The 26,632-nt window shown below is 46.8% G+C and overlaps 1 protein-coding gene and 1 long non-coding RNA gene across 18 annotated transcripts in view, besides 1 other annotated feature; one reads left to right on the top strand and one right to left on the bottom strand.

Moving 5' to 3' along the window:
• Positions 1-26,632, top strand: part of KIRREL3 (kirre like nephrin family adhesion molecule 3) — a 580,037-nt gene that overhangs the window by 279,066 nt on the left and 274,339 nt on the right. The window lies entirely within an intron of this gene.
• Positions 7,541-7,835: an enhancer, noted in NCBI's record as "tiled region #13423; HepG2 Activating non-DNase unmatched - State 13:Ctcf, and K562 Activating DNase matched - State 12:CtcfO". NCBI's record gives its function as "activates a minimal TATA promoter and a strong SV40 promoter by Sharpr-MPRA in HepG2 and K562 cells {active_cell/tissue: HepG2 | K562}" and the evidence as "EXISTENCE:reporter gene assay evidence [ECO:0000049][PMID:27701403]".
• On the bottom strand, positions 15,407-21,130 carry LOC124902785 (uncharacterized). Its single transcript, XR_007062940.1, has 2 exons — positions 18,158-21,130; positions 15,407-15,881 (listed from the first exon to the last, which is right to left on the bottom strand). It is a non-coding gene; the product is annotated as an uncharacterized LOC124902785 (long non-coding RNA).

Genomic DNA, 26,632 nt, shown 5'->3' with positions numbered 1-26,632 from the left:
CTGTCTTAGGATCAGGTTAGCATATTACAGCACAGGTGTTTGAAAGAAAATGAACCAACCTGCAGGAGACAGGAATCAGAAATCTTACACAGAAAGTGATCTTCTCCTTGCCGTGGCAGAAGCAACCTGCCTCTGAAGGTTGAAATGGGGGTGATGTTCTTCCCCACATTGTCTCTTAAGTCAAGTGGGAACAGTTGGGGTAGGTGGTGATCTGCATCTCTATCTCCAGAAGGAGACTTGGTTTTGACAAAGAGCCAAGCAAGACAAAAAGGCTCAAATGGAACAGCCTCAGCATTTCTCTTTTCATGTGTGGCCTTGGAGCTGCCTACACTTCTTTTAATCATCATGGAGCTTATGAAAGCAATCAGATCATTGGTCTAGTTTTCTGCAATTATGATCTTGAATAGAAGAAAATTCCTAAAAACCCTAGGCAGAGAGAAAACAATGATGGTTTTTACCTTCATTTAAAGTATTTTGAGTATTTTGTTGCTCGTTGGACTTTTTCCAAAGTTCTGAGTCACAAAGAGCATCTGTGCAAGTCTTTTCCTTCCATCTTTCCTTCTTCCCTTCTCTTTTCATATTGTATCATTTATGTAACTCAATGAAAATTAATTCTGCATCTATTATTATGTCATCATGGTCTAGGTACTAGGAATATAAAAGAATGACACAGTCACTGCTTTCAAAAATCTTACAGTATAGAAAAGTAGAAAATGTTCTGTTTGCTGAAGTTGAGATCCACTAAGGCCTTTATTTTAAAAGCATAGAGGAGAAGGGTTTAGGAAATGCTTTCTTGCCTACTAAGGGAGGTGTGAGGTAAATGTTGGCACCAGCTGCTTAATGATGCCACAGAGCATGTGTGTCTGGAGGCTGAGGAGAGTTGATTTTTTTAAATTGTTACCTCTTTATGGTAGAGTGAAATGAAACAGAGCCTGTCCCCTCCCTTCTTTGCCTATTTCTAGCCTCCTCTCCACAGCTCCCACTAATGCTGTGTTCTCTGGCTCAGCACTGTTCCCTTTGCCTTTCATTCTACTCCACAAACATAGCTTAGCCCCTACTAAAAGTGTGTCTGTCTCTGCTAGGAGGGCTGTGGAGGTTTCAGTGGGGGAAATCCAGCTCTGTATGCTAAGTACCTGCAATGTGTCAGGGCTGCAGGCTCTGAGATAGATGCCTGGGACGGAGACGAACAAACCACAGTCCCTACCCACTTAATCTCAGTCAAGTGGAGAGTCCAACATGTGTCAAATACCGCAATACCTACCGTACACTATGTGCAGCCACAGAAGACTGTAAGAGGAATAGATGAAGAAAGGCCAATTCCACCGTGGGAGACAAAGGATAGTTTCATGATAGAGGTGACGCTTGAAGCTTACCATCTAGTAAGAGAAATGAGATTTCGTGCGGAAATCACCATGATGCAAAGGAGTGCTTCCTGAAAAGTGATATTTGAGCTAGGCCTTGCCAATGAATAGAATTTTCAACATTCATTCATTCATCCAACAGATATGTACTGAGTAGTTGTTTTCCCAGATAACGGGGAATGCAGTAATTCAGAAGACAGACAAAAATCCTTGTCCACACGGAGCTTACATTCTAGTGGGGAAGACATAAAGTACATGACATGCATGAGTTAGAGCACAGCTCAGCACATTTTTCCTGGAAAAGGCTAATCACTAGTCAGTAAACATTCCAGTCTTTACAGATCTTGTGGTCTTTTTTGCAACTACTCAGTTTTGCCATTGTGGCATGAAAGTAGTCATAGACAATACATAAATGAGTAAGCATGTCTGTGTTCTAATAAAACTTTATTTACAAAAACAGGGAGTGGACTGAATTTGGCCCCAAGGGCCATCGTTTGCCAACCCCTGATATGGTGTAAGTTAGATAGTCAGAAGAGCTAAACAGAAAACATAAATCAGGAATAAATAAATACATACAAGAAATGTTGGAGAAAGAGCTTCAAATTTCAGTAGGGAAAAAAATCCCCAAAAGGTGAATGAGACTTCCTGTAGGAAGTGAGGGAGTGAACCATGCAGATGGCCAGGAGAAGGGCCTTTTGGGAAGAGGGAACAGCTAGTCCAGACCCCTGGGGGTGGAATGACTCTGCCATGTTCAAGTGTCAGCCAAGGGCTGATGACTGGAAACAGGATGTTTTCAGGCAGATAGATTGGGATGGAGGAGAGAAGTGACAGCAGGTGCTTGAGGAACAGTTTGGCAGGATCATGAGGTATATACAGTAGAGTTACAGACAGAAGACAAGGCTGGAAGTGGAAATTATGACATATCATTGGGAGCCTTGACTGCCATGCTAAGGGGTCCTGACATTGTTCACAGGGAAGGACTTCCATGGGAACCCTTCGCTTCTGACCAGAGCACTCACAAATGGTTCTGGAACACAAAAAGGCTTTTGGACTGTGAGGCTTTTTGACTGTGAGGCACCATCCCAGTATCAGCCACATGGAGCTGTCCTATGTCAGGGACCGTGCTGGTGACCCAGATGGCTCTTCACAGGTGTGAAGCTGCAGCTGTCCCTCCAACGCACCCTGTTATCATCCTTCCTTCAGTATCAAGGCCTCCTTGCCAGACCCTAGGGGAGAGCGCAGTTATGGGGGCTCAAGCTCATCCCCTGACTTCTCTCTGCAAATCCAAAATGAAGCCTTGGCCTTCAATCTCTGTCCTCTTGAGCAGGCTTCTTTGCTATTGCCAGAGAGGCACCTACTCTGTGCCATGCACTGTGTTAGATGTCTTGCATGTGTTATCTTATTTATTCCTCATGATTCTATTTTTTTTTTTTTTTTTGAGACGGAGTTTTACTCTTGTTGCCCAGGCTGGAGTGCAAAGGCGCATCTCAGCTCACCACAACCTCTGCCTCCTGTGTTCAAGCGATTCTCCTGCCTCAGCCTCCCGAGTAGCTAGGATTATAGGCATGCACCACTATACCCAGCTAATTTTGTATTTTTAATAGAGACGGGGTTTCTCCATGTTGGTCAAGCTGGTCTCGAACTCCCGACCTCAGATGATCCATCCACCTCGGCCTCCCAAAGTGCTGGGACTACAGGCATGAGCCACCATGCCCGGCCTCATGATTCTTTAAGGAAGGTGCTGTCTTGTGGAAACTGAGGCTAAGCACAAGCAGTGTCATCCCCACAGTCAAAGCGAATGAGCACCAGAATTTGAGACTAAGTCAATCTAGTCTCAAAGTTCTTTCCAAATCACCATGTTGTTTCTCATTCAGTCTGTCTCAGAAAACACTTTGGCTCTCAGCCAAAATTGTTCTCATTTCAGGGCTCCCTCCCTTGCCAGCTCGGCTGGTGCCCAATTAGCTTCTTCCCTAGGAATCCCAGTTTCTCTCTCTCCCCTCTCTCAAGCACATGAAATAGACCTTTCTCCCAGATTGTTCCCTGCCCCTGCCCTTTAATGTATGACTCCAGATCTTCCTGCTCTCTGCCCTTTCCTGGACACTCCTCTCCTCCAGGTCCCCTCGCTATCTTCTCCCACCTTCTCCCAGGCTTCCTCTTCAATGCCAGCCCTACAGCGTCATTTGCATGTGCCCTGGCCCAGCCACAAGCCAATTCCTTTCTCTCTCATGAGGGTGATCATAACTGGTTTGCCTAGGACAGTCTTGGCTTGTGCCTGCAGCCCTAACATAACTATGATAATTATAACTCTCATTCGCTCTCAAGAGTGTCTGTGTTTGGGTGGTGAATGTCTTCACCTACACTGGGCATGGGAGTGAACTAATTTAAACTCCTCAGATCTAAGTTGAAAGTAATTTTGTTTTTTGCAATTTTTCACCCACCTAATGCTTTTATTTCCTTAGATACACCCTGCAATCTAGCATATTTCCTCTAGGTCTGATTTTTAACCAGAGTGGTAAAATCTTTCTTTGAGGGATTTGAGATTTCATTGGAATTTAGAACTTCATATCACTAGGGAGCCAGGCAGATACAGCCCCACCATGCAAACATGGCATCTCCTGCATGCAAACACTGCCGTGAGGGCTGGTGGGACAGGCAAGGACTGCAGAGTCTCACCAGGTCTAAATTCATCCCCTCAGCAAATATTTATTTGGCACCTACTATTTTGAGCACTGGAGATACAGTAGTGGACAAACACATTAAGCCCCTGCCCTCAAAGAGTTTACATTCAAGTGGGAGCTCAGACAATTTACAAATAAATATATGCTGTGTCAGGCAATAAGTTCAATGAAGAAACATAAGACAAAGTCAAGAGGCAGGAAAAATAGTAAGGACCAAGAAGCTGAAGAGGGAGCCTGCAGGTTGGCTTGAGAAAGGAGGTTAGTTCAGCTGAAGCAGATGAGTCAAAGGGGGATGAGTAGGAGCTGAAATCAGAGGCAGAGGGACCACACCCTGACCCTAAGCCATCAGAAGTTTGGACAGAGGAGCGATCAGATCCAACTGACATTGCTACATTGCGTAAGGATGGCTGTGGCCACTGGGTTAAGAAGAGGCTGAAGCAGGGAAGAAGCAGGGCGTCTCTCAGGAGCCTCAACAGATGCAAGGTGATGCTGTCTTGGACCAGGGTGGGGGCAGCAGAGGTTGTAAGAAGTGGTCATTTTCTGGATAAAAGATTGAAAGATAAAGTATTAGAGAAAGGCATCAGGGATGACTTCTAAGGTTGTGGCCTTAGAAGTCGCAAAAGGAAGGATAAGTTGCCATTGGCTGAGATAGGGATGATTTTGACAGGATCTAGCGGGAGGGGCTGTGTGGTGAAGGCAGGAGTTGGCTGTGGATGAGTTACATTTTAGAAACCTAAGAGATGTTCAAATGGAAATGCCCAGCAAGGAAGTAGACTTCAGCATGCGGGTGGAATGAAAGCCATGGGACTAAGTAAGATCACCTAGGCAGTGAATGTAGACAGCTCGGAGAAGCCCTGAGGTCCTCCAACATTTGGGAATAATAGAGATGGGGAGGAACTAGCAAAGGAGATGGAGAAGGAGTAGCTGTGAGTAAGAGTAGACCCGTAAGAGACTGCTCTCCCAGAGGCTAAGAGAAGAAGGCGTTCAAACAGAAGAGCTGGCCATTTGTGTCAACAAGGAGTTGACCATTGGATTTGTCAACATGGAGTCATTGGTAATTTAGGAAGAAGCCGTTTCAGTGGCGTATTTTTAGATTTGAGACAAAACCAGAATAAGTGGGTTACCGAGTGTCGGAATGAAGGGAAATGCGTTTGTCTAGATGAAGGAGACAGTGAGAGACAGCTCTTCTGAGTTCTGTAAAAGAGAACACAGCAAAGGAGGTATAGCAGGAGGAAAACAAACATGAGAAAGGCTTCTCCATTTTAAAAAAGTTAGAGATATTACAGCATATTTGTAAGAAGATGATTAAATAAAGGGGGAATGATGACTCTGGAGGGAAAGGAGACAAAGGTTTCTATCAACGCCCTTGAGTGGGAGAAGGGGGCTGGGATTCAGCATCAGAGAGGAGGGCTTGGCTTCCTGGGGCAGAAAGACTCAGTGAGGCCCCCTGTATCGTATCAATGGGGCTCCTGGCCGGGGTGGTGTGACCCTAATCCCTAGCCGCTCTGCCCATAGCTTCCCTGCCCCTGGTGAACTTGGCAAATCACTTATTGTCTAATTCTTAGGTTCCCCATCTTAAATATTAACTTACCATGCCCACGGCAAATGATTATTATTGAGAGTAAATAAAATATGTGTAAAGCACAGCACTTATCCTTAATAAGTTAAAGCTAGATCCTTTCTACCTTCCTTCCCCAGTTTGCCCTCCAGCATTTCTCTGAGGACCTCTGACTCATCCAGAGAAACTTGGATGGCCCTTCTGCTGCTAATGCTGCTTAAAGGCCAGCAGGGCCAAAAGCAGGCACAGCCAAGTGTTTCCAGTGCCCCCAAACACCCTCGTCCTTATATTTGTCTCAATAGCTTAGTGTCTGTGATTTGGTGAGTCATCTTTCTATGGCAATTTTTCATTTCCGTGCAGCCTCTTGGAGTTGGGTTCCGCAACTTGCACCTGCATGCAGCTAGGATCTTCAAAGAGCTGCTTCCCACTGAGTGAGCCCAGCCAGGGAGCCCCTGCCCCTCCCTCAGAGCCATAGCACAGAAGAGGTGGGTGTCTGGCTGCAGTTCTGGGTGGGCCCGCCTGCCTGAGCCTGAGGCAGAGGGCAGAAATGTGGCTGCAGGAGATGGAAGGGTGTGAGAGAGCCCAGAGCTGGGATGCAAGCCCTCCTCTCAGCGCAAATTCCGGTGATGCTACCTTGCCCAGGTAGGAGATCATTGAATCTCTTACCCAGAAAGACAAAGCTCTTGTCATGAGGCAAGGGATATTTTAACTTCTATCCATGAACCTCCCAATGAAAAAATGTAGAGTTCTGTCAAAACAGGTTAGCATATTAGCAATCACGGCTCACTACCATCTGTATTTGTTCCATTTGTGCCGTTTATGATGGTTATCCACATTAATTATTTCACTGCTAAAGTCCCTTCTAATTTCTGAACACTGTTATTTCTAAGAAAGATGGATATTAGATATGCCACACATCAGCGCAGGGTGGCATTACAGCATGCCATTAAGTTCAGATGCTGAGGCTCGGCAGAAAATAATTTTGCTATTTGTAATTGCAATAAAGTGTTTTATGTTGTGGCTCAACATGAAGAATAGCACTGATGGAAGCTGACTACTTAGTTTGGCAATGACTCTGAACTCATTAAAACAGACGAGAACCACTAGGTGGGGGTGACTGGCCAGCAGGAGGACAGAGATGAGTGAGGATGGAGGACAAGGTGTGTGGTGACAGCCATTCCCAAGCCTGGCCACGCCAACCTGCCTGAGCAGAGTCTACAAGGAACAGTTCCCCGCGAGAACTTTCAAAGCATCTGAGTCAATAGATCTAGGGTAATAGGGTAAGGCATAGCCAACAGCTGGGACATTCTATCACTGCTGGTTCACATAGCCACTTGTACAACAGTGGCACCTTCAGAGCAGTGACCACTGTCAAAGTACTTGAGTTTATAAACTATAATCACGCTTCCACTATTTCATTAAATAACATGACAGCCTTGGACGGGAGCTGTTATTGTTAGCATATCCAAGACACCATAGAATAATTAGCTTCTCTCCTAACTCCCAACCTCAGGCTTCCGAAAGGATGCCAGTGGGTTCAACAGCTAAAGTCCAGCGAGGACAGCCTTGAAGGTAAGGACCAGCGTGAAGGTCTAAGGAAGGCAAAGAAATCTCCCTTTGTGGCGTTCTTTGTTTTAAAGTGATGTTTGAGATGGTGATCTGACCTGGGTGAGGAAGAATCAAATGCTTCTTCCAGAACCCTTCCAGTTCAAGCACGTGTTCATCCTCCCATTGGTCATTCATCTGTCAAAAACGCACCAAATCATCTTGGATGCGCTGAGCTCTATGCCTGCCCTAGGCTCATTCCCGCCTTCCCAGGTAACCAGGGCAAATGAGTCAGCAGCCAACAAGCAGGGGAAAGGAAACAAAACAGGCACCCACTGCAAATAATGGGTGGATCCCATCTAGATGAGGTCCAGTATAAAATGAAAATCAGCTAGAAAGAATCAGCTGTTACTCTCCCCCACACTTCCCCCCCCCCCCAACACACACACACTCACACTCACACTCAGGCTAGTAAATACCTTCTTTGACTGATATGGCCAGTTTTCAGATGCATTTGGCTGTTTCTTCCAGGGTGATAGCTCCCCCTGGTGTTTGGAGGCCCAGGTTTTCACAGGCCACAGTGAGTGTCCCCAGGAATCTTCTGTGCTCCATCAGTATCACTTAGATGGGAGCTAGAGATCCATAAAAGTCAGTCCCTTCCTGTTTCCCTGGGATGTGGCTGACCTGTGTCATCTGAAACAGGCTTTGTCCCCTGAGCTCCAATCCTAACCTCCCTACAGCCTCAACGCTGTGGTTCTGGGCAAAGTTATTGAAACTCAGAGCACCCATCCCTCACCTATAAAAATGAGGGAGATAACACCAAGGTGGTGTTAGCATGAGATCAAATAATAATGAAATGACACCTAGCTCAATGCGTGACACCTAGCAGGTGCTCCATACATATTAGCTGCTTTGCTCTTCTTAGTTTAAGAGTTTCAAAATCTTGCTCTCCAGCTCCCTCCCTTCCTCTTTCTTCCTCCGCCTCCCTCTCCTTCCCAAATCTTTATTCTAACCTTACTCTTTCTTTCATAGCTCCCTCCTATCTGTTCCTCCTTCTCCCCTCCTGTCTCCCTATCACTCTCTCCATCTCCTTTCTTCTTTTTCCTTCTTTCTCATCACCTCCCACATTCCCCCTCACCTCCCTGTCTGCCTCTTTTCCCACACCTCTTCCTCCGCCCTTCTCCTGCCCAACCTCATGCCTAAGAACTAACATTGGGTGTATGGAGGGTACTCTCTGAAGATAAATTGCATCCTGTGCTAAGTCAGAGAGGAGCCATTTTTCCACTAGTCAATAACACTGCAGATTGCTCTTGCATTCTTCAGAGGAGCACCAAGGGCTTTTCTGCGCTCTTGACGGTGGAACACTGGCCTCTCTGCAACCGTGTTCATCGTGGATGGTGTTTGAACATTCTCTGTCTTCCCTCTTGCTCTTGTGCAGTCTCTCTGATGTTTGCCTCCCCCGCATTCTCTTTCCTCCTTTTGCCTGCCCTTCTTTTATTTCTAATCTCATTTTTGCTCTTCTCTTTAGTATGTTTCACGTGCTGTAGTCCCTTTTCCTCTTGTTTTTGATTTGCAAAATGGTCCACGTTCTCCTATATTCCCAAACTGCATTTTCTCAAGCAGCCTGCAATATTTCTTCCCTGTCACTGTAAAAGCTTTTTCATCTTCATTTGGAGCCATTTGCCCTGATCATTTCTTTCCTTAAGATCACAGTGATGAGCCCATGTGGTCTTGAGCTGTCAACAATCCCCAGGAAAGGAGAGCACTGACTTAAAACTTGCATTTTAATTTGGAGACCCCCTCAGAGGCTGGCCAGGGCAGAGCAGAAGCACAGCAACTGTCCCAGACCAGCCCTGGTTGTGCACTGAGATCTTTGGGAAGATCTGAAAGGAAGGAACCTGAAAATGCTGAATAGTTTTCTTCCCCCACAAAATAGATGGGGATAGCCTGAGTAGCTCAAGACTGTTTTTCTCAACTGATTTCTTCCTCTACACAGTTCCCTTGAAAGAGGAAATAAACAATTATCCGGTGGCAAAACAGAGACTCTATTAGTTGTCTGGGCATTGTCACAAGGTGAAAGTGTCACAGGCTTGCACAAGAACCTGATCATTAGGAGGATGGAGTCCCCAGCCATGCAGCCACACAGAAAGGTGGGGTGTGAGTTTAGAATCTGAGAAAAAGATGAAGCCTGAGTCTTCACCCTGTGGCTTGACGCCTCGGGTGCCTGGGATGGGGAAGCAGGAGGAAAGTTCATGTAAGTAAAACTCCGCTGATCACCCAGCAGGGGCCTCCTTCTCTATGGTGGGATTTGGTACATAAGCCCCCACCTCAGGCAGCTCAGGGATATCCCACATCTTCCCTCAAAGCAGACCCAGAGACAAGGATTCAAATGCAAGTAGTTTGTTTCAGGGGGCGATCCCAGGAAACCCTGGTAGGGGAGGGAGGAAGTGAGTAGGAAAGGAAGGAAAGACGCCAGTAAAGGATTCATCATCATGTAGATACCACTGTGTGCAACTGGCAGTCAGCCCACCGTGCAACTCTGGGACGTGGCATTCTCCCCAAGGAGAAGTGAGGAAATTGGGGCATTTATCCCCACCAGCCCCATACCTATCATGTGTAGAGGGCTGCCTCCCAGGGCGGAAACTCTCCAGCACATGCCATTTGCCCAAGACAGAATGAGCATGTTCCCAAATGCCCCCCATCACATCTCCGTGACTCCATCACACCCGCTGTCCCACAGAGAATCGCAGGCATTAGCACAGGTTTCTTCTGCATGTCTAGTTGAATGCTAAGGGGCTGTGGCCAGAGCTGCAACAGTATCAGGGCTCGGCCTGGGCCACACGCTCCCCTCTTTATGCTGCTCTAAGCCAGGGGTCTACATGCTTCTACAAAGAGCCAGAGAGTAAATACGTTAAGCTTTGCAACCAGAAGGTCTCTGTTGCAACTCCTCCATTGATTATGTCATTGTATTGTGGCAGAGAGGCCAGAACTGTGTAAGGCAGGTAAGGTGCTCTAGGTACAAAATTGAGGGAGGCACTGACTGTCCGGGCTGTGGCTTGTGCACCAGCCTGGGAGTGAGGGTCTTCTTCAGTATTGCACCCTGGGCACCTCCCTTTCCCCTCCCCAGCCCTGGCCCTATGTGATGCAAAAGCTGCTCTACCCAATACGAATGCAGAGGGCGTGGCTGTGTTCCAACAAAACCTCCTTTACAAAAACAGTCAGGGAATCAAATTTGGTCTGCAGTCCTTAGCTGACCTGCCCTATCTAGCCAGACTGGTCTTTTAGGTCCTCCAAGCACTGTGCTCCCCCTGCAACCCATTTTCAGATGCTGTTCCGTGCTCCCCACTCAACACCTCACCTGGATATTTCCTCCTCGCCCGTCAGCCTCAGGTTGAACATCACCTCTTCAAGGAGGTCTCGCCCACTTCTGGCCAGGTCAGATCCCCCTACGGAACCCCACACCCTCCACTCTCCCTCAGCACACTTATCACCATGGTAATTGCATAGTTGATTGTGTCATTTGTTGTTGAATGTCTGTCGCCCTCTGCAGAATGTACACTCCTGTCAGTTACCAGAGCCTGTTGCGTCTACTTCCTAATAAGCCTGGAGTCTTTCCCTCCTCATCACCTCAGGCAGCGCAGCCCTGTCCCAGGCCTTCATCGTTTCTTACCTGGGTCTCTGCAATGGCCTCCTGCCCCATCTTCCTACATACCTTGAGGCATCCTGGGGCTCCCCTTTACCTCCATGAGGACGTCCAAACTTCTAAGAATGGCATAAAAGGCGCTTCACATCTGGGGCCCTGCCCCTAGCCCTGCCCTCATCCCCTCCCCACCTTGGCCCACCTGCTTTGCTTCAGTGATGCTACCCTGCCTATTGTCCGCTACTTCCTAAATGCATGAGGCTCTCTCTGGCTTCCAGGCCTTTGCATGGGCTGTGACCTCTGCATGGAGCCTCCTTTCTCCCTTTCTGCACATCCCAGCATCAGTCCGTACCCTAAATGGCCTTCTCAGACCATTCATCCTCACAGCCCCAACTCCTCCGCTCTTGGTTAGGAATCAGCAATGTGGGCTTCCACAGCCCCCTGTGCTTCCTCAGTTTCAGGTTTCTCACACTTTGTTATAGCTATTTACCTATCTGCCACTCCTATGAGAGATTGAGCTCCCTGAGATGAGGAACCTAGCACCCAGCACCCAGTGCCTAGCACCTAGCACCCAACACTCAACACCTAACACCTAGCACCTAATACCTAGCACCACGCCAGAGCTTCGAAGGCACTCAATAAATGTCTAGTAAATGACCAAAAAGCCTTGGACACCTAAACTGGTTTCTTTTCAGTGACTGGTGCGGGGATCTGAATGGCCTCTGGACCATTTTTCATTTTGTAGGAGGAACGAGGATGACAAAAACGGGTCGTGGCCAAAAGCACTGTCTCCACCTACTTTTCTCTGCTGGTAGCTTTCAGGTTGTCGCCAACCTCAGAGGGCCACAGTACCAAACTTAAAGACCCTACCCACTTTCCCTCCTCTTGAGACTCACACCATGAGTGGACAAAAGCCGTGGCGGGTGATCCTCACCTGCCTGCGTCCTGCCTCTGAGGGAAAGTTTCCCGCACCCGGAGAATGAGGTGGCAATATAGACCTCCATTTTCTCTTCTCCTCCCACATCCCTAGGAAAAGGGGGCAACCCAACATTGACCAGAACCCAAGGACGGGCGAGGTGGAGCAGGCGGCAGGGGTGCCCCAGATTGAAGAGGCGTGGCCTTTCGCCGGCACAGCACCAACGGGGCAGAGGGCTCTGAGGGGCTCGGCCCTGCCAGACCCTGCCTCACTCAGAGAGGCCGCCTTGGGAATTGCTTTGATAAGTGAGGACAGCCCCAGCCCCCCAAAATGCATGCACGCGCGCACACACACACACACACACACTCGCCCTTATCTGGAGCACACATTTCCTTCGGGCCCGGCAGCCAGCTGTACTGTCACTTTCGTGATTGCAGATAATTCACATTCAAACAAACTCTGACTCACCAGAGACACAGAAAGAAAATGCTACTAGAGTAGGAAAGTCGCTGCGCGCTGTTTTGCTTTTCCTGTTCCTGGCATCTTTCATGTCGGAAGAGGACCACTGGGAGTGGGGCGTGGCTGGCTGACGGCAGAAGGCCCGGACCACCTTGCTGAGAAACAGTAGTTCAGCGCCACTGTGGAGTGGCCTTCCTGGACCCCAGAGGAGGCGTTTCCAATGGAGTGTCGGCTCTTTGGTGTCCCTAGAATATCCTGTTTTTAGGGATGTTCTGCTTTTTATAATGAAGCGGCTCCCACCGCCGCCCATGCTTCAGGCTCAGTGGAGAGAGGGCAGCTGGGAGGGGAGGCTCTGTGGCTTGAAGAAGCCCTTTGCTGGCACAGCATCCTCGCACAGTGGGAACTGGTTAAAAATATAGATTCCTGAGCCTACTAAATTCTCACCTTACTAAATCAGACCTTTTAGCTCATTCCTACTAAATTAGAATTTCTAGGGAACTGGACAGAAGTCTTTTTTGTTTAATTTTACAGCTAACATGATACTAATTATGCTATTTGGGAGCTACTCATGTAATAAATTATTTTTTGTTGTTGTTTTTTGGGTTTTTTTGAGACGGAGTCTTGCTCTGTCGCCCAGGCTGGAGTGCAGTGGCGCGATCTCAGTTCCATGCAACCTCTGCCTCCTGGGTTCAAGTGATTCTCATGCCTCAGCCTCCCAAGTAGCTGGGATTATAGGCATGAGCCACCACCCCCCAGCTAATTTCTGTATTTTTAGTAGAGGTGGGGGGTTCACCATATTGGCCAGGCTGGTCTCAAACTCCTGGCCTCAGGTGATCCACTTGCCTTGGCCTCCCAAAGTGCTGGGATTACAGGCTTATATAATAAATTATATCCAGAATTCTCTTTAAACTTAGGCGGTTATGTGCTCGCGCATCAGGCAGGATGGAGATTGTCATGTTGCAGTAACTCCATTCCTTCTGCCACCCACTGGATCCATAAAAAGATGGAGCAGAGATTTTTCTCTAAGGATGCAAAAGCACTTTAGATTCTCCTGCAGTCACTGTTGGTAACCTGAATTCTCAGAGTGTTTGATGATTCAGTGGTTAGGTTGATTTGTGTAGACCACAGATTTTTCTTGGGGGAAAGTGAACTTAGTTCTCCTTGCCCCAAGGAGGGGACACCTGAAACCTAGCTGCCCTTGGCCGTCCCAGCAGCCACCATCCTCATCACAGCCTGCACATTGTGAAGAGGCCTATCAGGTTGAGACTACTGTCAAGACATTAATTAAAGTTTAATTAATTATTAAAATGATATTTACTGAGTTTTAGCAACTCCCAAATAAGATTTGTGTTTGTGGCAGTTGTCAAACTGTAGTAGATCTGTTCTTAATAATCAGTTGTGATCTGTTTGACTTGGTATCACTTTTCTTATTTAGCCTAAAACAAAACTTTATTTGAGACACTTAATTATAAGTGAGGCTGATTTGCTTTCCTTCGGGGCACCAGGGACTCTGAGTCCAAGTGGGATGAGAGGGGTCCCCAGCTGAGGACAGAGAAGGGGTGCCTGCCCTAGTAGATATGGGGGTGATGGTTATTCACAGGGTGCATCATTTAGCAAAATAGTCCTCCAAGCTCCCATCTGCATACACGTTAACTGGAGCTTTAAAGAATGTATTCTCATCTCATTAGGAATCTCGGCATGCCATGAAGGGTTACTTGAATGCTATTGAACAGTCGTGGGAAGCTAAAGCTACTTCCCACTCAGGTACTTCCAGAACCACGCTGAACTTCAACAGGAAGAGGAGAGGGCTCAATGGGAAGAATGGGGTGCCACACTGAGCTAGCTATCTCCCTTCTCTCCTCAGCTTTGTGAAGTCCTGTGTTCTGACCTCATGAGTTCAGTGAACATGCCCCCCTAAGACAAGGCACTGCTCCGAGAAGCCACCTGTTGGTCAGGGCCCTGCTGCCTGTGGACAGATCTGGGGTCCACTGATGCCAGCCCATCTACTGATGGACACAGGACAGAATAGTAGAATAAGCATGGGCTTAGTGAGGAGGAGATTGGGATTCCAATGCCAGACTTGATACTCATTATGTGTGTCTCCTAGGGACATTTCTTTCCACCCTGAACTTTGGATCTTATATCTCTAAAATGGCTGTGACAGTAACTTCCTGGCAGGGCATGTGTAAGGATTAGTGATAATGAATGCAGAATGTTCACAGCGTAGCCTGGTGCTTGCTGTATAGAAGATGCTCAGTAAGGTAGCTCACATCATTACCTACCCTCGTGCCCCAGTGCTCAGCCTCTCCAGCTCCCTTGGACAATGCCTGCCCGGCCTCCTGTATTAGTTTCCCTGGGCTGCTGTAACAAAATACCACGATCTTGTGGCTTAAACAACAGAAACTTATTTTCTCACAATTCTGCAGGCAGGAGGTCTGAGATGGAGGTGTCTACAGGGTTGGTTTCTCCCGAGGCCTCCCCTTGGCTTATAGATGTCTGCCTTCCCTCATCTTCACATGGTCTTCCCTCTGTACCTCTGTGTCCAAATTTTCTCTTTTTATAAGGACACCAGTCATGCAGGATTAGGACGCACCCTAATGACCTCATTTTAACTTAATCACCTTTTTAAAGACCCTATCTCCAAATATAGACACATTCTGAAGTATTGGGGCATATGAATGTTGGGGACACAGTTCAACCTACTCCCTACCACTGCCACCACCACTCATTAGCAGGTGTTTGCCTGTACTTTAGCCAGTTAGGTGTGAACTCTGTCTTTCCTGTTTGGCTGCATCTTCTGCCCGGGGGTGCTGCCCCTCCACCCCTACTCCCGGGGAAGAGATAGGACTGATTGGAACCCCAAAGGTCATCTTGGGATAGAGGAGATGATAAAGCCAACTAGTCAAGGCAGCCATATTTTGGGGCGAGTTCTGAATGCCAGGAAGAGGACTTGAAATTGATCTAATAATTTCTTGACCTTTTTGCTTAAGGATAATCAAACACACTTTATATGGTCGTTGACGGTATTAAATGAAACAAGCACATAGCGTAACACAGTGACCCAGCACAGTGTAGGCTCTCCTCTCCTTCTCTGTTGATCAGAAGGGATACGCTGAGCTTGGTGTTCTAGAAAGATCCACCTGGCCGTGATAACACAAGCTGTCCTGGGGTGGGGGCAGAAACTGTTGGATTAGCACGGATCAGGACAGTAATAGTGGGATAGAGAAGAAACCAATTCAAGAAACAGCCTGAAGGAAGAAACACTGAGTTTAATGACAGTTTGGATATGAGGAGAGGAGAATGAAAAAGGAAGGGAGAGATCACAGCTGATCCCATGGCCTTTGACCTGGCTTAGTGATGATTGGTGCATTTGGTAGGAACGGGAGCTGGAGAGCGGAGGGAGGAAAGCTAGTGAACTCCTCAGAGATCATGCTGAATGTGCGGGAGGGCCCTGGAGGCCCCGGAGAAATGGGAGAGGAGGTCCCGGTCCATCAGCAAGGAGTGCCCAGGTGGGAGTGCCGCTCTTGGCTCTCGAGTTCGCCGGTGCCTCTCCTGGACGTTGAGCCGAACGCCCTCCTTCCTTCCCCACCCCGGAGCCCACGTCGGAACAGCAACTTGTTAATGAAGCTGTTGTTACTGTTACTGATGGTGATGACTCCTGGTCTTGTGTATCCTGGGCCAGGGTTTGATATCTGAGATAAAGGACTCTATTTCCAGTCTTCCCCTGCAAAGAAAATAGGGTATTCACAGCTGAATTACAGATGTACTTCCCCATTTTCCAAGAGAAAAACAAATAGAATTCCTAAGCAGGAGCACTTTTCTGGCTAAATGCCTTGGTGAGGAGTACATTGTTATTCCAGTATTGCTTATTCAGACTTTCTGAGCCTTCTCAGATGCTCGACTTCACATCCTCATTTTGCCCGCTTTGGTAGCAATATAACATTGTAAACTGCCAGGAAAAAGCAGCGGCACAGGCAGATGAGTTTCCAGGCGGCATGAATACCGCCTGACCAGGGAGTCCTTTCACACGGGAAAAGTCAGTGGAAGAGGAAGATTGGGTGTGTTTCTTTCTGATCAAACGGGGCACGGATACCCTGGGACCTATGGAGATCATCACCTGCTTCAGGGATGCGGAGGGGAGTATTGCCAATCGCCTGTTTCACCCTCCACCGACTTGACCCCGCTACCCCATGTAATACTGCAAGCGAGCGAACAGGCAGGAGAATGAATGCATGGGGATGGCCCACAAAAAGATAACTGCTTTCTCAAGGGAGGCAAGAAGGGTGAAGTTTTGGCCCAGAGTGGAAGGATTCCTAGGAAAGCCAAAAAAAAAAAAGCTCATCACAAGGACCAAGAGGAAGCACTTAAGAGCTATTATGGGAAGGAATTTTTCTAGTCTGGGAGAAATGACCCAGGGAAAGGAGACTTTCTAAAGAAGTGCTGAGAAGAATCCACAGGGGGAATAGAATGAGTTAGATGAGAATTTAAATGGAAGCATTCTATCCGGGACTGACAGTACAGGCTGAGTACTTTAGCCCCTGGCTCCAACAGCGAACAGCAGACTCAGAGGAAATGCAGACTGGAAAGGCTAAGAAGCAGCCTTCAGTATTGGCATATGAACAGAGAGAACAATGGACTGACATAGAGTATAGACATAGGCCCAAATATATACCTGGGCAGTTAGTATATGACCAAGCAGTGTTTTGAAGCAGTGGGGGATAAATCAATGATCAATGAAAGCTATGGGGAACTAGCTAGACATTTGTGGAGAAAAAATTAGACAGGATCCCTTCCTCACCCCTTGTAGCAAGACAAATTCCGCCTAGATGAAAGACGAAACCATAAAATCAGACAAAAATAAAATGTGTCAGATGTATATATGTGTGATGTATGTACAGTCAAAAGCCAAAAAAAAAAAAAAAAAAGCCATGGACAAGGTGTCTTATGTCTGCAATCCAAACACTTTGAGAGGCTGAGGCGGGAGGATCACCTGAGGCCAGCAGTTCAAGACCAGCCTGGGCAAGGTCCCCATCTCAACAAAAAATTTAAAAATTAGCCAATGTGGTGGCATGCACCTGTAGTCCCAGCTGCTTGAGAGGCTGAGCCAAGAAGATTGCTTGAGCCTAGGAGGTTGAGATTACAGTGAACTATGATCACACCATTGCATTCCATCTCTTAAAATGTGTGATGTATGTACAGTGAGACCCCATCTCTTAAAAAAAAAAAAAAAGTCAAAAAACAATCTGTGGAAAAAAATGTATAGCACAAATGACTGATAAAGAGCTAATTTCTTTCATTTGTCATCTAAGAGTTCTTACAGTTCAAAAAGGAAAAAGAATTATTAAAATTCAATACAGAAAAAAGCTCTTATGAACCAGTAGAAAAATGGGCAAAAGATGTTTACAGAAAAAGAAAAATATAGCTGATAAACATATCAAAAGATGAACAACTTCAATTGTTATTGAAGAAAAGCAAAATAAATGATTTTTAAAAATTTATTACACAACCGAAGATGAAAGGTTTGAGCATATCTCCATGTCCTGTGTACAAGGAAGTGGGGAATCAGGCACATTCATACCACTGGTGGCATGGTACCTTTGGAAGAGAATTTGTCAATGTCTATTAAAATTTTAAATTTACATGTCATTTATTAAGCATTTTGTTCCTAGAAATTTAACCTAGAGACATATATTTATACATGTGAACAAATATCCACACACAGGATGTCTATTGCTGCATTTTTGCAAATAACTAGATAAAAACCTAATTGTACTTAAACGATATTTGCATGTCCCCAGTACACTTTCCATTATACACATAGCTGTACATTTACCTATTAAGTGTGGTATTAATTAAAAAGAAAATGGTATAGCCAATCAGAAAATTACTAAATATTTATTTAAATGAATCAAATATATCTTCATGTTTCAGTTCTCTATTTCTATGTGACAAACTATCCCAAAATATAGCCACTGGAAATAAAACCCACCATGTACTAACTTTCATGGTTCTGTGGCTTGGCAATGTTCAGTTGAGTGGTTCACCTGCTCCGTATAGTGACATCGGGGGCTGCAGTCATCTGAAGGCTTGACTGGGCTAGAAGGCCCTAGTGGTTCACTCACATGGCTGATAATCAGCACTGGCTGTTGACTAGGAGCTTGACTTATGTTTTTGGCCACTGCCTCCATTTTCCTCTGTGTATATTTCCATGTGGGGTAGGCTTCTCACAGCACAGGGGCCAGATTCTGAAAAGGAGCATTCTAAGTGACTGCAAGCAGAAACAGCAAATCTCTTAAAGTTTTTCCCAGAAGTTACGCAGCATCACTTTCTCAACATTTTAGTGGTCAAGGCAAGTCACAGTGCCATGGCAGTTCTAAAATAGGAGAGGTAGCCTCCACCTCTTTCTGGGAGGAGTGGCTAAGTGTTTGTAGCCATCTGTAATTTACCACAGTGCATTTTCCATTTATGCACATACACATAGGTATACATTACATATACATATACACTTGCACATACGTAGTGTTAGACCATTCTTACATTACTATAAAGAAATATCTGAGGTGGGATAATTTATAAAGAAAAGAGGTTTAATTGGCTCACAGTTCTGCAGGCTGTACAGGAAGCACGGTTCCAGTATCTTCTCAGCTTCTGGTGAGGCCTCAGGAAGCTTCCAATCATGGCAGAAGGTGAAGCAGGAGCAGGTACATCACATGGGGAGAGAAGGTGCAAGAGAGAGGGAAGGAGAGGTCTCAGACTTTTAAACAACCAGATCTCATGTGAACAAACTGATCAACAACTCACTTATCACCAAGAGGTTAGTGCCAAACCATTCCTGAGGAATCCGACCTCATGACCCAATCACCTCCCACCAGGCCCCACCTTCAATACTGGGGATCACATTTCAACATGAGATTTGAAGAGGACAAACCTCCAAACCATATCACAAAGACATATATAAAATTTGCAGAATGATGCAAATAAACTGTTTATAATTTTGGCACGAGTAGAAAAGGACTGACATCTTTGTACTGTTTGTATTCTTACTATAAATGTGTACATTTTTTGAATTAAGAAAACCTTTTTTTAAGAAAACCAAACCTATGTCTTGAGCCATAAAAAGCTATATTCAGTGGGTAAGATATAAATTTACCACCCACAAATACAGTTCTGACCCAAGAGTCCTCCCACTCCTGTCATACAGCTCTGGAGCTGCCTAGAGCTGGCTGACAGTTTTTAGCAAGGTGGCCAGACATACAGGGCAGAGGCTTTCATCCCATGGCATGGTCGCAGGAGGAGAATACTGCTTCCCTTGGGTGATGGCCTATTGAGAATCCCAGTATCTTCCTTTAGGAGCCCCCCAGCTTGTTTTGTCACCAATTCTGATGTGGTTCCTGTATCAAGCCTTTGGACTGGTATAGGTAGCTAGCCCAAAAGTGACCTGCTAACGCAGACAGCCAGGAGCCATCCTGGAAGCGTGGGCATCAGGAGAGACTCAGACTTCCTCACTTAGCCACAACTCATGAGAACCAAGACATCCAAAAATAGAGCCCTGTCTGTGTATGGAAAGTCAGCCTGAGCCAAATACGCACGTGTACAGGGACACACAACACAAATAGGGCAGCCTTTTAGAGAAAAAGCCTGCAGAGCTGTGGCCCCAAATGCTGAAGCTGCACTCCACCAAGGTCTCTCAGACAGACCTTCTAAGTGACAAGACTGTGAGCCCCTACAGCCAGCTGGGGCTGGTTGCTGCAGTCTTTTGCAAGCCTCTGTTCTGCTAGTACTCACTTCTTCCCGGCCCCACCCCACCTCCTCTCTCCTGCACTCCCCACACCCCGACAAACATGCTTCCTACCAGCTGTTGTTCTGTGCTGCTGTGCTCACTTCATTCTGCAGTTAAGGGGAACAGCTGTGCACATGCATGCACATGAACAGATATGATGCAAATGTGTGTGCTGTGTAAATACATGTTGCTCAGCTGGATGGGCATGTGCAAATGTGTGGGTGTGTGCAAGATTGTGTGACAGCCTTCTGGGCATACATATCAAGAGCAGGTGCTAAGTTCAAGTTGTAATATGTGTCTATGTGTGAATATAGTTATATCTAATTGTGTGAGTGTATATAAATAAGAGAAGGGGGGAATGATTCTGGTAGCAACATCTCTGAAAAGATGGGCGCAGTGATTCCAGAGAGTGAGTTCAAGCAATCTGACAGAAATTCCATTTCTTCTTCCTTTCTGTGAAAGGGGAGGAATGCAAGGTATGTAGATGTCCCCAGCATAACCGCTGCCAGCACTGGCCCTTGAGTGAGATTAATGGCCTGTGTTGGGAGGACATCCCAAGGCAAGGATGACAGAGCCAAGAGAGAAGGATCCAACCACATTCTGCAAGGGCTCCCCATTCTCTTTCCTGCCCTCTGAGACAGGGTTTCTGGCACGGAAACACTGGCCCAGGCAGTCAGAGGGCCCAGGCTTAGGAGTCCTGCCTCCCCTGCCCGTGGGCCTCAGGAAAACAGACATCTCTTTTGTATCATGAATGAAGACAAAGTGTGAACTTAGGAGTCAGCCAGCCCAGCATTTGGATTACAGCCCCATCACTCCCGATCTGACTGACCTCTGACCGATCACTTAATTCCTTTGGCCTCAGTGTTCTCACTTATAAAATGGGGATGAGATATAACAGTACTTACCTGATATAGGGTGGAGGGGAGGATAAAATGTAAAGCACTTAGCACAGAGCCTGGCACATAACAGCTGATCAATCATTGGTAAAGTCACTGCTCCTGCTGATGGTGATGAAGACGATGATTCTGTTTGCTGCTCACCAGTGCCCCATGAGCAAAGCTGCTGCAGAGAACAGCTCTCAGGAGCACCATTCCTCCGCAGACCATGCAAATGGTAAGCCTTGGCCTTGTGCAGTGCACAGCCTGCAGCAGCCGCTCATGGCAGCCCAGCCTGTGAAGTAGGTCAGATGGAGTAAATGGCAGGAAGCAGCACGGCTGGAAGGAATCCAGGCCTACTGGCTCTTTACAGTGTCTCCTGCCCCAGCCCAGCCACCCCCACCTGACCAGGATTCACAGCCCAGAGAATACGCCATCTACTACTCACCCTTCTCATTTAGGTCCATACTCACCATAAACCATCCTCCCTGCCACTCTGAAAATAAAAAGACTCCTCAAGAGGAAAAAGCAACAATTGCCCTCAGGGGCCCAGCCAGAAGAAAGCATGTAGCTGGCTGACCTTGCAAGGAATGGAGGCAGAATGGGAGCTTGCTCCCCTCCTACAGGCTTTCTCCTCCTGGGAACAACTTGGGCACAGGATGGCACCCAGTCCTGTTGGTCTTTCTTCAGGGGACCACAGGCCTCAGATCAGACACACACACTCTCTGCAGAGCATCCACCTCCTAGGGTGCACATTTAAAGTGTGGTCAGAGATACAGCGGGGTGCACCAGGAGGTGGCTGGGCAGAGAGGGCCCTGTCCGTGCAGGGTGGGACGAGGCAGGGAATTTGCCAGCCTTTCTAGAGTGCAAGTGTTTTCCATTCAGCAGCCGCTGTGTGTTTTGTTTTGCTGTGCTTTGTTCTGAAAAGAAGTCAGCGTGTCTGCTGAGGCCTTAGGGCTCCACGGTGAGAGGAAGCTGGTGGAAGCCAAGGGTTGGGAGATCTGCCCTCCTCCACCTCTCCCTGACGTCAGCCTCTCAGCAGAGGCTCTGTCATTGGAGCATCTGGGGTTTGAGTAATGGGAACAGTGTGGCTAATGCCCACCTCGACTCCACATGAAGATGTGACATTTGCAACAATCATCATAATCATCATGATGTCATAGATTTGTGGAGCTCTGTGCATTTTTCAAGGAAAGATTGCTTTCTTTCATTTGTTTTTCAGTACAACCTTGTAATATACCTGCAGCTACCATCAATAGGGTACATTCTATGTGACAGGCCCCTGCTAGGCATTTTACATGCATTATCATTAAATTCTCACAACAGGTCTACAAATTAGAGATGATTTGCTCCCGTTTACAGATGAAGGTTTGGACAGGAGACAGAAACCTTAGCAGACTACCCAAGATGATGGAGCAGAGCTCAGATTTACAGTCAGGTATCTTTGGCTCCAGGCCCACTCTCACAGCCATTCTGCTTTACTCATAAGTTAAATAGGGAGGTAGGTTATTACCCTGTTATAAAGAAAGGAAGGAGACCTAACAAATCTTAAGTAACTTGCTCAAGACCACACAGCAAGTTAATGACACATCGAGACCCCGGGACTTGACTAGCACCTAAAGAACCTTTTAGGTACTCCCTAAAAATCTTTCATGGCACCTCTGTGGGATGGTTGTCTTCCCACTTTACAGATGGAAAACCTGAGGTACAGGGCAGAGAAGGATTTGTCCAAACTTTTAGCAAACAGTAGGGGCAGGGCTTCTCCCCAGGCTGGGAGTGGCTCCAGAACTCCGCCCAGGTGCTGCCCTGGGAGATCCCAGCCCACCTCCTCCACCCTCTGACCTCCTCGCTCCCTTCTCTGGTGAAGGGAGCTCTGTGGGCCTCTGCTCCTCTTTTCTCTGTAGCATGCCATGAGAGTTTCTAAGCAGAACAGAAAAGACTCTACTTTTAAAAGTGCCCAACCCAGTGACTTTCCAAGGATTCTTCAGTTTCATGATGACTCGACACAGGCTGAGAGATTGCAAGCTCCAAGCCACCAAGAAGAAAGAGCTATTGATTCGGAGCATTTCTGCCCAGCTTCCTCCCTGCTGTCCCTCTTAGATGTCCTTTTGTAACAGCGTGAACACAGTCCCCACTCCCTCTCTCACCAAGACTGAGAGAATCCAGGGGGCTCGGTGCTGCTCAACATGTCACGTTGATGCTGGGGATTTATGCTAAGAGATGGATGCAAAGACCAATCACTTGTAACATTGGCATACCCAGGAATTCATCATGAAGGGGTGTCACACACATGCACACACGCAAACACACACCAATCACGCAATTCATTTATTGTCAAAGAGACTGTTACTGAGAAATGAACCTTGATGTTGCAAAGTGATTGAAATGCATTGAGATAATTTCATTGTAGCTACCTTGTTCAAATGGCCCTTTCATGACAATGCAGTGTGGTTTCTGCAAAGAGACACTGACGTATGTTCAGGCTTTCAGAAGCTATTTTGGGATGAATGGGCTACTGGGCTGGCTTTGTGGGTTCTTGTTAAATGAAATAAATCTGGAAGCCTTAATTCTAGCTTTGTCTACATGGCCGGATATAAGTTTCTGAGAAGGGCTGAGGCAGGAGCTGGGTTTAAAGGAACTGAGCTCATTAGCCCAAGACTGCTGAGGAGGGTGTGGGGGGTGAATGCCTGTAAAGAAGATCTCAGAGAGATATTTGCCCATCACAAAGTCAGGCCTGTTGCACATTATGGGGTGGGGAGAGAATGACAGGCGGAGAGGTTTCACCTGCTGAATAGCGGGATGAGTCTCACAGAAAAGACAATGCCTGGGCTCCTCAGAGCCCCGGCTGCTTCCTGAGGCCCACTCCCCAGCCTTCTAAGAATGGGGTCCGCCAGAAAGGCTAGGAGGCAGAGGATCGGCCAAAGGTGGGGCCTCAGCTGATCTGGGGACAGCAGCAGAGATTAGTAAAGGGAGATATTAGGTTAGTGCAAAAGTAATTGCAGTTTTGCCATTAAAAGTAATTGCAAAAACCTCAATTGCTTTTGCACCAATCTAATAATTGTATGTGGAACACAGTGTGGGGACCTCACATCGTTTTCCGGTCCTGTTCTTCAGAGTGTTCTTAAGAAGAAAGCAGCTGTAATGAAGAGGAAAATAAGGTGGTACGCTGCCTCTTCCAATGTGCCATACTGAGTCACACAGAAAAATGTGTGTGTACATATACTTGTTTCAGAAAGTAGGAAATAAGGATGTCAAGTTACTGCTCTGAAGTCACAAGTCACTTCGGTTCTCTGAATATCTCTCTCTCTCTTTTTTTTTTTTTTGTGACAAAGTCTTACTCTGTCTCCTAGGCTGAGCTGCAGTGGCACAAGCATAATTCACTGCAGCCTCAACCTCCTGGAATCAAGCCATCCTCCTGCCTCAACCTCCCATGTAGCTGGGACCACAGGCATGAGCCACCACGCTCAATGAATTTTTTTATTTTTTGTAAAGATGGGGTCTCACTTTGTTGCTCGGGCTGGTCTCGAACCCCAGAACTCAACTGATCCTCCCACCTCAGCCTCCCAAAGTGTTGGGATTACACACATGAGCCTCCATGTCCGGCCTTATTTTTATTTATCTGATAAAAAATATCAATAACTAATCATCTCACAAAATTGCTAAGATCAGAGATAATGTATGTGAAAGTGTTTAGCGAATTACTTCGCGGGCCTAAACTATAATAATAATAATGCACATACTAGAATTATAATTATACATACAATTTTTTCTCCTTAATAAGCTCTGGCTCTATACCATCTGATACACTCATCACTAGCCACATGTGGCAGTGAGCATTTGAAGCATGGCCAGCTCAAACTGAAGTATGCTGGAAATATAAATATATACCAGACTTTGAAGACATTACCTAAAAAAAGGTAAAATAGCTAACAAATAATTTTATAATTATAATCTATTGAATTAATAATATTTGAAATATTACTAAAATAAAACATACTATTCGAAGAAATTTCACATTTCTTTTTACTCGCTGAGTGTGGCTACTAGAAAATTTAAAATTGCAGCTGCAGCTCGCATTATATTTCTATTAGATGTTGCTGCCATAGAGAATTGGAAACGTGTTGTATTCAGCCTTTACTGCACCTTGTGGGAACACTATCAATATTTGTCGAATGAATTGTGATGTGAGTCAACTCTTCTCCCCATCCACTCAGCAATTCTGGGGAAGATGCGGTTATGATATCAGGCTATGTGAGGACAAGCTGGATGGAGGGGCTCTGGCTCTGTCAAAATCGCCTCTGTGTGACATTTCCTTGGCCCAATCCACATCTGGTGAATAGGTCACACCTCGTGGCACCCACTGCCACCACCACACCTCTAGCCTTCAAGATCCTCTTGGGGGCATTGGCCTTCATTCCCCTTTTTGACCTGTCCTGCCTCTCTCCTGGCACCCCTTCCAGTAACTACTTAGGACCCACTTATTGGAAAGGAAAGGGAGAAGAGCTGGGATGTGATTTTTCACATGAAAAGAAAACTTCCTGATGAAGAACCTGCAGGCAGCTCCCAGCCCCTTAAGATCGCAGCTCCTGCCCGTGGAGCAAGCAAATGGGAAGCTCTGTACCTCCTGCACGAAGGGCAGTGACTTGGGTGGGAAACCTGGAGCCTTTCCTACTGGGCTCTGTGCACGAGGCCACCTGTCTTCTCTGGAACTCACTGCCAGAGCAGGGAGAGAAGCCAATGGCAGTTGGAGTCACTCAGAGCCCTGGATTTGGGCGCTGGGCAGCGCTCCTCAGGCCAGCTGAGCTGAGCTAATACATGGCCACAGACACTCCCCCACCACTCCCGGCTGGCTTCTTCTCTTTCATTTGCATTCCTCTTCCTCCTCACGCAGCAGAACCCTGGCCTTGACACCTAAGACACTCTAAAGGGATAGCCCTGAGCAGATGCTCTTATGACTTGCCACCTGCGGGATGCACGGGCCGGTGTCTCTGCCAGCCCCTTTCTCCCTGCAGCCCCTGACCTGTCGTCTCTCCAGAGCTGACCTACTAAGACAAGCCGGCAGATGAGAACACCCAAGGTGGAGGGTCCATGTGGCCCTGCCTCCTTTGGACTTCATAATAGCGTTTGGAGAGATTATACAACTTTTTAAAATAGAGTCTTAGCAGGCCTGGGAGAGGGATTTGTCTGCCTGAGTGTTTTTTCTTCAGGATATGTGTCAGAAGGATTCTTAAATCTTCAAAAACCCCTCATCTCTCCGTGAGCATGAGAACGTGGTAGCAGTAAGGCACAGTAAAAAACCTGCTGATAGACAGATGGAATGGTGTAATTATACGCAGGAGGGAGAGAGGGAGCGTTTGCTGAAATTATTAGTGTGGGCAGACAATTAGAGGCTTTTCCAGAAGATTACACTTTTCCCTCCCATCTGCGCTCCATTTAGGAGTTTTTACATTCACAATGCTATTTCCTCCTCAGCTGTGCCATTTGCCATTTTGCCCAAATTATTATTGTGCTTGACTTTGCATTTGTTCAGACTTCACCAGCGTTGTCATCTTCCCTTCTTGGCACTTGCTCAGTCTCTGAGCCTCCCTGGCTCTCTCTTCTCATCACTTTCCCTCTCTTCTTCCTTCACTCTCCCTTCCTCCCACTCTCCTCATCACCAACAAAGATCCTCAGATGACTGTCAAGAGCAGGGCTGCTTGTTTGTGGTCTGAGTAGGACTTGATTAATATCCAATAATAGGGAGGTGATCAGAGCAATCATGGGACCCACCCGGAGGCCCCGGGAGAAGCTGAGTCCCCGGCAAGTGAGGCTGAATGAGCA

The sequence above is a fragment of the Homo sapiens genome, chromosome 11 (genome assembly GCF_000001405.40).
Source record: "Homo sapiens chromosome 11, GRCh38.p14 Primary Assembly".
Taxonomy (NCBI): domain Eukaryota; kingdom Metazoa; phylum Chordata; class Mammalia; order Primates; family Hominidae; genus Homo; species Homo sapiens.
The sequence above is the reverse complement of the archived record's forward strand: the minus strand, read 5'-3'. Positions and strand labels throughout refer to the sequence as shown.